This window comes from Homo sapiens, chromosome X (assembly GCF_000001405.40).
Source record: "Homo sapiens chromosome X, GRCh38.p14 Primary Assembly".
In the NCBI taxonomy this organism is placed as follows: domain Eukaryota; kingdom Metazoa; phylum Chordata; class Mammalia; order Primates; family Hominidae; genus Homo; species Homo sapiens.
In genome coordinates, this window is record NC_000023.11 from 22,219,907 (window position 1) to 22,232,241 (window position 12,335).

The following is a 12,335-nucleotide window of genomic DNA, read 5'->3' on the forward strand; positions in this document are numbered from 1 at the left end:
GCGCCTGGCCTATTCTGATTATTTTAAAGTCTATACTTTCCTGATAATTTATATAATAGGATATGCTTTGTATCCCGATGACATTTAAGCAAAAAGAAAAAGCAGAATATGACATAAACTAAAGAAATGGCTTCCTTTGAGAGTCCTCATCATCATTAATCAGCACTCTTTTCTCCTTTAACTTTGGAGTATTATCGGAAGGCCACATGAAATCTCTGAAACTTACGGATTAGTAGCAAATTACTATCACATCCATACCCACACAGTGATTTACAGGCAGTCTCAGGAACCAGCTGCCCTAAGGCAACGTTATATAGAAGGGGACCTCTTTCTTCCATCCCTGTAGTATCTCCAACATCCTTCCTGGATGCCTACCCCAGGGCCAGAGACACTTAGGCTCTTCTAGAAAAGTCTTCCTGTACTCCCACCAGCCCTTCCTTAATCACCTAGATTTTTTGCTCCCCTGGTCTTCCCTTCTCTGTTAAAATGTGGCTGACTTGTAGTTATAAATGTGGCTGACTTGTAGTTATCTGACTCTGCAGAGCTAGACTTTCTGCCTTTGGGTGTTTGGTTTATCTGAGATGAGAGTCTTAGCTAAGAAAAAAAAAAGCTAATAGTCCTTTCTTCGTTCTGGACCTCTCTTGATAGGAAATTTAAGTACAGTTCCTCCCCAGAACCTTCTGGAGTCTTTCTCAAAGGACTGAATCTAATGGTGGCAATTTCACTCTGTAACCAATGCTTAGAACAGTGCATTGCACATATAAGTACATGCCCGGTACCTATTTAATGATTGGTTGGTTAGTGGGTAGAGGACAGTGACTCCATACTATCCCAGGGGGTGGTGTTAGTAGTATGTAGCCTTGCTGAAGAGTTTTGGATTGTTCCAATTAACAACTTTACTTACGGGACTTTTTTGTAAGCTCTCTGTATAATTAAATTTAAACGATGCCTCTGATTCTCATAGTAACCCTGAATATAGAAGACAGTCTAGCAGCATCCAAATTTTGTTTCAAAGGCTGTAGAGAAAATGAAGAGTGAGCACATAGCAAGAAAGCATGTGTAATCTTTCTTCCCATTGTGTTTTGGAGATTTTCATTCTTATTCCAAGTTTTCTTTTTAGAGCAATCTTCCCTGTCTAAGCAGGACAGATGGGCCTTCCGTCCACACTAGTGGCTGTGGAATGAATCATAACAGAGGTTTTATGTGTCTTTCAGCTCCTGGCAACTTGGAGGAAACAGGTTCCTATAGGGCTGAGTCAGGGTCTATGATCGCACAGTATGGATGACTCACTGGGGCTATTCCTATGGATCATTTGGAATTTCACTGGTAGTAATGCTCTGATTGCCTCCATGGGCTTTCTGAATGAAGCCATTTTATTTCATAATCCAGTGAACACTTTGGGTCAAATCAGGTGAAGACACAGAATCCAAGATTGAATAAGACTAGTATATGTAATAAATTGATGAATCTCATTTTTAAGGTGCTCTTTGTTCCTTAGAAGGAAAGAACTTCCTCAATTGTCTTTATCCTTTTTGCCCTTTTTACAATTAACCTGTGACATTGGAGAGAATGCAGGAGCTGATCTCAGGAAGAGTGTTCCCTGCTGTTATGACTGCTTTTTGAAGGCTTGTCGAGGTGAGGGAAAGGAAAGATGAATTTAGTTTCCATAAATAACACAAATGTCTTCGAACTTTTCCTTTTGCTAGGTAGAAAATATGATAAAAATGGAAACCTGGATCCTTGGTGGTCTACTGAATCAGAAGAAAAGTTTAAGGAAAAAACAAAATGCATGATTAACCAGTATAGCAACTATTATTGGAAGAAAGCTGGCTTAAATGTGAGTACAACTGTGGCTAAGGGGGGCACCTTGTGGTTCATTTTTCCTCATTTGGACATTAGCTTGCTTTAAACCATTGGTTCTCAAAGCGTGTTTACAAGATCAACAGCATCTGTCTTCCTTGGGAACATTCTTGAGTCCTACCCCATACCTGCTGAATCAGAATCTTTGGGGTTGGGGCCTGGTCATCCCTTAACCAGGCATGAACTTTTTCCTGATATATTACTAGGGCTGGAAAAATACCTAAATCCTTGCTATGCCTCAAATCTATTATACTTGTAGATGAATTTAGGTAAAAATCCATGTGCTTCTTTTAAAGGGAATGTTTATAAACACTGACTTGGTTCTCCTGGTTCTTAAACCATGCTCAGCCCAAGTGAGACCACTGCTCATTCAGGCAGAGAAACCAGAGTCTGTATCCTTGAATGGTGTCTAGCTCTTTTATCAGTGTCCTGGACAGCCATTTCTCTGCCTATATATTTTTAAATATCTACAACTGTGACATGAGAAGACCTAAAATGGGTGCTTCTATGTATCTCTATATAGTGCAGGGGTTTTCACACTGTGAAAATTCATCTGGAGTATATGTTGCTTCAAGAAAAGCATAGCAGAAAGGGGTTCTAGAGTCAGACATGGGTCCAAATCTAGGTTCAACTAGTTTTATGAACTTGGGCAAGTTACTTAATGTTCCTGAGTCTCAGCATCTTCATCTGTGAAACGGGTCAATGTTTCTGAACTCATGGATTTGTTGTAAGAATTAAGTGAGCAAAGCAATGTGGAGCACTAGCACAAGGCCTGACATAAAGCAAGTGCTCAATAAAAGATCGTTAGTTAATATTCCTGATCCTTCGTGACATACTCATTAGTACCCTATCCCAGGAAAAAACAAAGCCAAAGATTTTTGGGTTAAAAACCCCCCAAAAAACAATAGAACAGCTTTCTTGGAGGAAGGGAATTTATATTTCCTGATGATTAGTATATACAGGCATGAAGATGAAACTTTTCACTTAATTGAAACAAATGTATCCCCATACTAGTCCTGAGAGGTATAGATTATTACTAAGTGTACAGGTTTTACGTATGAGGTTCAAAGGAATTAAACTGAGGTTCAAAGAGATTAAAATCCACGGTAGAGTCTAGATTAGAGTTTAAGTAAGTCTGTACGACTCCAAAGTCCATACTGCTTCCCCTATATCATGCTGAGGTTCTTATTTTAAGTTCATTTTATATCTGGGTGATGTGTGGGTGGACTGCTCTTCACCATTCATTTTGGCCAAAGTGTCAGAGATTGAAACTTAATTCTGACAAATGTGTACCTTTGTCACAAGGACGATAGAAAGGGCATGCCTGTCTTAGCACCAATCCACTTAACCATCAGAAAACAGCTTCAGTTTCATTCCCACAGGAGAGTGGGTGGCTTCCTTTGTGGATATAAGGGCCATGCTTTATTATTTTTCTGGCTTCATTTATAGGAGCCGTTCCTTTGTGCCTGAATCTTGCTTTGTAGTGACTTCGGGGGAGCTCAGATGGGGCACTACAGATGCAGACTGTCAGCAGCTGTTGAGTCTTTTTTTGTTGTTGTTCCTTTTCGTAGCTGTTGAGTCTTGGGAGTCCAAACCTAGGGCCACGTGGTCTACTGAGGCAGACCAGAGTTCAAGGAGCCAGAGGGGTGAGGCTGCTCCAAAAGGCTCTAAATTAGATATAAAGCTTAGAGTGAATGGCTGGGCATGGTGACTCATGCCTGTATTCTAAACACTTTGGAAGGCCAAGGTGGGAGGATCACTTGAACCTAGGATTTTGATACCAGCCTGGGAAACATACGGAGACCCTGTCTCTACAGAAAATTTTTTAAAAAATTAGCCGGGTGTAGTGGTGCATGCCTGTAGTCCCAGCTACTCAGGAGGCTGAGGTGGAAGAATTGTTGGAACCCTATAGTGAGATATGATCACACCACTGCACTCCAGTGTGGGTGAAAGAGAGAGACCCTGTCTCAAAACACACAAACACACACGAAACCCTCAGAGTAAAAAGGAAGGAGATTAAATTTTTTAAGCAGGAGTGGATATAATCATAATCTTCAAGAGCCAAGAGGAGTTGGGACTTGAGAAAGTAGCATATTAGGAAGCAAAGGCTCTGGAGACAGAAGACTGCTTGGGTTCGAATCCCAGTGACATGCGAGCAGTTTACTTCATCACTCTGTCTTAGGTTCACTAGAAGCAGAGCCCAAGAAGGGGTTCCTTAGGTCATTGACTTTTTTGAGACAGCGTCTCGCTGAGTCACCCAGGCTGGAGTGCGGTGGTGTGATCTCGGCTCACTACAACCTCTGCCTCCCTGGTTCAAGTGATTCTCCTGCCTCAGCCTCCCCAGTAGCTGCGATTACAGGTGCCAGCCACCACGCCTGGCTGATTTTTGTATTTTTAATAGATACGGGGTTTCTTCATGTTGGCCAGTCTGGTCTCAAACCCCTGACCTCAGGCAATCTGCCCGCCCCAGCCTCCCGAAGTGCTGGGATTACAGGTGTGAGCCACCGCACCCAGCCCAGGTCAGTGATTTATTCAGAAAGTCGTTTCAGGAAAAACCTATAATGGAATGAGGGAAACCTATTGGTTTCAGGAAATGTTTAGCCTCACCCTGATTCCACAGAGGATTCTGGAGCACGAACTGCACCACAGAAATTGTTCAGCCCAGGTACTGGGTTGTTCAAACTGCACATCAGTCAATTACTGGAAGGTGGGTTATAACCTCCCAGCGGTCTCCAGATGAGGTGACTCCCATAAGCTAAGGTTGATCTGAGCTGTTAGCAGTTGTGGGAATGGGTGCACAGTTTAGGCAGAAAAGGGGATCTGGTGGGATATCGACATCTGCTACACTCTCGGAGCTTTAGATCCTCATTTGTTGAGCAAGGGTGGTGGTAATTAGCACTTACTTACCTCATACGACTGTGGATAACAAAGAATATACGTAAAGCAGGAATGGTAGCTTTTGTGTACTGAAGCTAGGAGGGTCCTGAGTGATTACAGTGAATAATATTTTCCAAAGATTTGTTTTTATTCATTGATATTGCTTGATACCTGGGTGACTGGGCTAGCTTAAAAGTAAAGTGTTGGTAAGATCCATGGCTTGAAAGTTAAAAGCAAGGTATATTAGTTTTCTGTTGCTTGCTATAACAAGTTACTATAAACTTAGTAGCTTCAAATAACATAAATTATCATACAGCGCTGTATGATTTATTATCATACAGCTCTGTATGTCAGAAGTCTGACATGGATCTCAGTGGACTAAAATCAAAGTGTCAGCAGGGCCACATTCCTTTGTAGAGGTTCTAGGGGAGTATCTGTTTCCTCGCCTTTTCTAGCTTTTAGAGGCTGCCCACATTCCTTAGCTCATGGCCCCTTCGTTTTTCAAAGCCAGCACTGGCCGGTGGAGTCTTCTCATGTTGCATCACTCTGACACTCGCTCTCCTGCCTCCCTTTTCCTCTTGTAAGAACTTTTGTAATTACACTGGGTCCACCTGGACAATCCAGGATAAAGTCTGCATCTCAGGATCCTTAATCACATCATAAAAGTCTCCTTTGCCATGCTTTATTTTTCCAGCTTCATTTTGTGGGGACCATTCCTCTGTGCCTGAATCTTTCTTTCTTCGCAGTGAATAAGGTAACATATTCACAGATTCCAGGGATCAGGACGCAGACATCTTTGGGAGGCCGTTATCCTGCGTGTTATACAAGAGTTGAATGACTTTTCTGTAAAGGGCCAGATAGTAAAGAATTGAGGCTTTGTGGGGCGTATGGTCTCTGTTACAATATTTAATTCTGCCACTGTAGCAAGAGAGCAAATACAGACTATATGCATGGGCATGGCTGTGTCCCAATAAAACTTGATTTATGAACACCAAAATTTGAATTTCATATAAGTAATTTTCATGTGCCACCACAATATTATTCTTCTTTTGATTTTTCCCCAGTTGTTGAAGTATGTAACATCCAGTCTTACCTTGAAGCCTGTACAAAAACAAGCAGCAGGTTGGATTTGGCGTGTGGGCTGTATTAGTTTAGAATATTTGTGTCCTAGCTCATTTAAAGTTTTGAGAAACAATCTTGAATATTGGGAATAATTTTTTTTACCATGCTGGCTGGTTGTCATACATATCGCAGACCTCGACCTTGTGATCTGCACTACTTCTGTTTGATTTTTCTTCCCTAGGAGAACCACTTTCCTTTTAATTTTCCATGGAAATTGCTGAAGGTAAAATGATGATAGTTGGTCTTGAAATCTTGTTCCTGTGTGGATGGTAAATTTTTGGAAACACAGGCACAATGAGAAGAATACTCAAATTATGTGAGTTAATCAGAGAAAGTAACCTGTGTATTGACATTCCTGTTTTTTCCCATTAAACCAGAGTCACTCAGAATATTGTTAACATTTTATTGGAGCTGGCTAGATTGGTTAGAATGAAGAGGTAGGTGAAAAAGAAGTGTGTAGCATAATGAAATAGAAAGTATTACATTCCAGAGCACCTTGCTGAGGATAGTTTGCCATCTTTCTTACAATATATTATGCCTACCTCTGATTTATTGAATGTGATTTTCTCTTTAAAATATGATACTTTTCTTGCTATAATATTGATGCCTCTTGCTGAATGATAGTTGACCGTGAAACACGCATTCATTTTTTTTTTTTCCTTTTTTCTTTCTGTTAGGTCAAGGGGAAGAGGACCCTGGGAGAAAATATTGCTGATAATGGAGGCCTGCGGGAAGCTTTTAGGGTATGCGCTGCTACATTTACCGTGGTTCTAAAAATCAAGCCATAAAACACCATATGGGGGTACCTCAATTCATACCATAGCCATGTTCTTGAGGAGTTAGTTAGTTAGATATTATGGAATTTCTGTAAATAGAAGTGTGTCTCCCCATTGACCCTATTACATAAAGAGAACTATATTTCTTTTTTCTTTTTGGGGTGTGAAGTCACCCTAAAGAATAATATTTGTTATTAAGAATCATGTATTTAAAGAATAGCTTTTAGAAAATACATTCACCATCAGATCGAAGCATGCTACAGCAATCTCCTTGGGGCTAGGTTCATTTGTTTTCCTTGAGTACAGGTCTTTCTGTAGTCCTCCTATAAATTTCTCTTAAAATATCAAACTTCTAAATTATGACCAGAGGGTAGTGGTTCTCATATACTGGGCCAAGTGATAGTTCATAATAACGTTTTCATCATCCACTAGTTTGTGGTCAAATAAGAAGCATAAAGATAATACAGAAAGATTTCATAAAGCTAAATGCATTAAATTTAATGACTAGACTGTTATTCCTGGTTATATCCTTCCTATATTCTAGTTGAAATATACTTTATTTTATAAAATGAGGGCACTAGAAGATGATAGGTTTTCTCTTACGTGTCAAAATGAAAAAAGGTAATATGCGGACCCCAAAATGTATTGCCATAGGGGCCTTGCCATTGTGTTAGATTTGTTTGTCCCCTGCTAGGAATGGAAAGAACAGCTTTTTTTCTCCAAGAGTTATTTAACATCTGAATGCTTTGGTCCAGCTGCTTTGGTATACATTGAGCATAAGGCCTTTTTGCAGGTGTACCTGCCTCACTGGTAAGCAACAGGACATGGACTTGTGTTTCTTAAGAAAATTTTGACATGATGCATTTTGCACGTGGCAGGAGTATATATTTGCTATTCCTGTGCTAGCTGAGCAAAGAGAAAAACCCACCGTTGCAGAGACTCATCTCTTCTTCTTCTCTCACCAGGCTTACAGGAAATGGATAAATGACAGAAGGCAGGGACTTGAGGAGCCTCTTCTACCAGGCATCACATTCACCAACAACCAGCTCTTCTTCCTGAGTTATGCTCATGTGAGTAGACTGAGGAAGGGGCATCAGGGATGAGATGCAGGACTTGAGTTTGCTCCCTTGATCAAAGAAAGATTTCAAACAAAAGTTTAATGGCATGACTTTGATTTTCAGCAAAAATGTTATCTTGATTATTTTCAGGGTAAATCTCATCTTCTTAATGTTCTGTAGTACATAATTAATTAACTGATTGAATCAAGGTTTATTAGTATTTTTTAAATCAAATGGGTTAGCAGCCCTGTGGTAATTCATTTGATAGTTCCTCAATGTATCTTGACTTCTTAATGTGTTTGATACTATTTATTTGTAACCATTTCTAGTAACTTGCTCTTTGGCTTTCATGGGCCTGCTCTTTCCTATATTGCTCCTCCTTTGCCTCATTTGCTGACTTTATGCCACCACTCTCAGCCTGTGGGGGACCCTCAGGGTCATGTTCCCAACTGTCTAATGCATATGCAGAGACCCCTAGAGCTGAAAAAGAACAAAGGCAAGGAGAGTCATGTCACTCTTTTGTGAGTTTAATAGGCTCTTGGAGCAGAAATTGAAAGGAAGATGTACACGAAATAAAGCACAGTTCCGAGCCTGAGTCTCTGTCTAATGAGGCAAGTGCCAAATCTTTATTAGCTATTATACTGGTTTATGTCATAAACATACGGGCAGCCTTTTCAAAGAAGTCAGGGATAGGTCAATAAAGGTTCTAGTGAATGGCCTCACCGTGGGCAAATGTGTATGAATATGCTCAAAGCTAGACAAAAATTTTCATCAGTACAACCTTTTGTTCCTAAGTCTGTCTTTGCTTTCACTGCTAAGTAAGCTCATTCTCACACGAGTCTTCTATAATTCACTCTGGTCACAGGATTCTTGCTTGCCTGCGGTCTTTTATTTCTTAAAGCTAATAAAAAACACTAAATAAATTATTATTTAGCAACCTAATGTCAACAAAACTCAACTCTAGTCATCCACAACATGACTTTCCTTTTACTTTTCCTGTTTCTATCATCACATCCCATCTTTAGATTTTCCTGGTTAGAAAGCCTGGATTCTTAGGTCTTATTTGATGCATCTGTCCTCAATTTTACAACATGTATTCCAGAAGCCAGATGTTTCATACTTTACTTTACTTTAAAAAAAAATTATACTTTAAGTTCTGGGGTACACGTGCAGAACGTGCAGTTTTGTTACATAGGTATACATGTGCCATGGTAGTTTGCTGCACCCATCAACCCGTCACCTACATTAGGTATTTTTCCTAATGCTATAGCTCTTCTAGCCCCCAACCAACCCTCTGACAGGCCCTGGTGTGTGATGTTCCCCTCTCTGTGTCTATGTGTTTTCATTGTTCGACTCCCACTCATGAGTGAGAACATGCGGGGTTTGGTTTTCTGTTCTTGTGATAGTTTGCTGAGAATGACGGTTTCCAGATTCATCCATGTCCCTGCAAAGAACATGAGCTCATCCTTTTTTATGGCTACACAGTATGCCATGGTGTATATGTGCCACATTTTCTTTATCCAGTCTAGTCTATCACTGATGGACATTTGGGTTGGTGCCAAGTCTTTGCCATTGTGAATAGTGCCACAATAAACATAAGTGTGCATGGCATCTTTCTTTATAGTAGCATGGTTTATAATCCTTTGGGTATATACCCAGTAATGGGATGGCTGGGTCAAATGGCATTTCTGGTTCTAGATCCTTGAGGAATCGCCACACTGTCTTCCACAATGGTTGAACTAATTTACACTCCCACCAACAGTGTAAAAGTGCTCCTATTTCTCTACATCCTCTACAGCATCTGTTGTTTCCTGACTTTTTAATGATCACCATTCTAACAGGCATGAGATGGTATCTCATAGTGGTTTTGATTTGCATTTCTCTAATGACCAGTGATGATAATGAGCATTTTTCATATGTTTGTTGGCTGCATAAATGTCTTCTTTTGAGAAATGTCTGTTCGTAGCCTTTGCCCACTTTTTGATGAGGTTGTTTTTTTCTTGTAAATTTGTATAAGTTCTTTGTAGATTCTCGATACTAGCCCTTTGTCAAATGGATAGATTGCAAAAATTTTCTCCCATTCTTTAGGATGCCTCTTCACTCTGGTGGTAGTTTCTTTGGCTGTGCAGAAGCTCTTTAGTTTAATTAGATTCCATTTGTCAATTTTGGCTTTTGTTGCCATTGCTTTTGGTGTTTTGGACATGAAGTCTTTGCCCATGCCTATGTTCTGAATGGTATTGCCCAGGTTTTCTTCTAGGATTTTTATGGCTTTAGGTCTTAAGTTTGTTTAAGTCTTTAATCTATCTTGAGTTAATTTTTGTATAAGGTGTAAGGAAGGGATCCAGTTTGTTTTCTGCATATGGCTAGCCAGTTTTCCCAACATCATTTATTAAATAGGGAATCCTTTCCCCATTGCTTGTTTTTGGCAGGTTTGTCAAAGATCAGATGGTTGTAGATGTGTGGTGTTATTTCTGAGGGCTCTGTTCTGTTCCATTGGTCTATATATCTGTTTTGGTACCAGCACCATGCTGTTTTGGATACTGCAGTCTTGTAGTAAAGTTTAAAGTCAGGTAGTGTGATGCCTCCAGCTTTGTTCTTTTTGCTTAGGATTGTTTTGGCTATATGGGCTCTTTTTTTTTTTTTTTTTTTTTTTTTTTTTTTTTGGTTCCATATGAAGTTTAAAGTAGTTTTTTCCATTCTGTGAAGAAAGAAAGTCAATGGTAGCTTGATGGGGATAGCAATGAATCTCTCTCTAAATTACTTTGGGCAGTATGGCCATTTTCACGATATTGATTCTTCCTATCCATGAGCATGGAATGTTTTTCCATTGGTTTGTGTTCTCTCTTATTTCCTTGAGCAGTGGTTTGTAGTTATCCTTGAAGAGGTCCTTTACATCCCTTGTAAGTTGTATTCCTAGGTGGTTTATTCTCTTAGTGGCAATTGTGAATGGGAGTTGACTCATGATTTGGCTCTCTGTTTGTCTGTGATTGGTGTATAGGAATGCTTGTGATTTTTGCCCATCGATTTTGTATCCTGAGACTTTGCCGAAGCTGCTTATCAGCTTAAGGAGATTTTGGGCTGAGACGATGGGGTTTTCTTAATATACAATCATGTCATCTGCAAACAGAGACAGTTTGACTTCCTCTTTTCCTATTTCAATACCCTTTATTTCTTTCTCTTGCCTGACTGCCCTGGCCAGAACTTCCAATACTATGTTGAATAGGAGTGGTGAGAGAGGGCATCCTTGTCTGGTGCTGGTTTCCAAAGGGAATGCTTCCAGTTTTTGCCCATTCAGTATGATATTAGCTGTGGGTTTGTCATAAATAGCTCTTCCAATTTTGAGATACGTGCCATCAATACCTAGTTTACTGAGAGTTTTTAGCATCAAGGGGTGTTGAATTTTGTCAAAGGCCTTTTCTGCATCTATTGAGATAATCATGTGGTTTTTGTCATTGGTTCTGTTTATGTTTATTGATTTGCATATGTTAAAACAGCCTTGCATCCCATGTATGAAGCCGACTTGATCATGTGATGGATAAGCTTTTTGATGTGCTGCTGGATTTGGTTTGCAAGTATTTTATCGGGTATTTTCGCATAGATGTTCATCAGGGATATTGGCCTGAAAGTTTTCTTTTTTTTTGTTGTGTCTCTGCCAGGTTTTGGTATCAGGATCATGCTGGCCTCATAAAATGAGTTAGGGAGGATTCCCTCTTCTTCTGTGGTTTGGAATAGCTTCAGAAGGAATGGTACCAGCTCCTCTTTGTACCTCTGGTAGAATTCGGCTGTGAATCTGTCTGGTCCTCAACTTTTTTTGGTTGGTAGGCTATCAATTGCTGCCTCAATTTCAGAACTTGTTATTGGTCTATTCAGGGATTCAACTTCTACCTGGTTTAGTCTTGGGAGGGTGTATGCGTCCAGGAATTTATCCATTTCTTCTAGATTTTCTAGTTTATTTGCATAGAGGTGTTTATAGTATTCTCTGATGGTAGTTTGAATTTCTGTGGGATTCTTGGTGATATCCCCTTTATCATTTTTTATTGCGACTATTTGATTCTTCTCTCCCTTATTAGTCTTTCTTGCTAGTGGTCTATCTGTGTTGTTGATCTTTTCAAAAAACCAGCTCCTGGATTCATTGATTTTTTGAAGGGTTTTTTGTGTCTCTATCTCCTTCAGTTCTGCTCTGATGTTAGTTATTTCCTGTTTTCTGCTAGCTTTTGAATTTGTTTGCTCTTGCTTCTCTGGTTCTTTTCATTGTGATGTTAGGGTGTCAATTTTAGATCTTTCCTGCTTTCTCTTGTGTGCATTTAGTGCTATAAATTTCTCTCTACACACTGATTTAAATGTGTCCCAGAGATTCTGGTACATTGTGTCTTTGTTCTCACTGGTTTCAAAGAACATCTTTATTTCTGCCTTCATTTTGTTATGTACCCAGTAGTCATTCAGGAGCAGGTTGTTCAGTTTCCATGTAGCTGTGTGGTTTTGAGTGAGTTTCTTAATCCTGAGTTCTAATTTGATTGCACTGAGGTCTGAGAGACTGTTTGTTATGATTTTCTTTCTTTCTTTTGCATTTGCTGAGAAGTGTTTTACTTCCAATTATGTGATCAATTTTACAATAAGAGCGATGAGGTGCTGAGAATATATA

The 12,335-nt window shown here is 39.7% G+C and overlaps 1 protein-coding gene and 1 long non-coding RNA gene across 7 annotated transcripts in view; one reads left to right on the forward strand and one right to left on the reverse strand.

Annotated features, from left to right (window-relative positions):
• PHEX (phosphate regulating endopeptidase X-linked) overlaps window positions 1-12,335 on the forward strand; it is a 218,986-nt gene that overhangs the window by 187,582 nt on the left and 19,069 nt on the right. For all 6 annotated transcript variants that reach the window (NM_000444.6, NM_001282754.2, XM_024452390.2 and 3 more), the window contains 3 exons: window positions 1,707-1,837; window positions 6,537-6,602; window positions 7,601-7,705. In NM_000444.6, the coding sequence (NP_000435.3) occupies window positions 1,707-1,837; window positions 6,537-6,602; window positions 7,601-7,705 (302 nt within the window). The remainder of the gene's footprint in view (window positions 1-1,706; window positions 1,838-6,536; window positions 6,603-7,600; window positions 7,706-12,335) is intronic.
• The window catches only part of PTCHD1-AS (PTCHD1 and PHEX antisense RNA), a 1,100,142-nt gene that overhangs the window by 26,902 nt on the left and 1,060,905 nt on the right, over window positions 1-12,335 (reverse strand). The window contains exon 9 of the long non-coding RNA NR_073010.2: window positions 7,564-7,761. This is a non-coding gene — a long non-coding RNA (PTCHD1 and PHEX antisense RNA). The remainder of the gene's footprint in view (window positions 1-7,563; window positions 7,762-12,335) is intronic.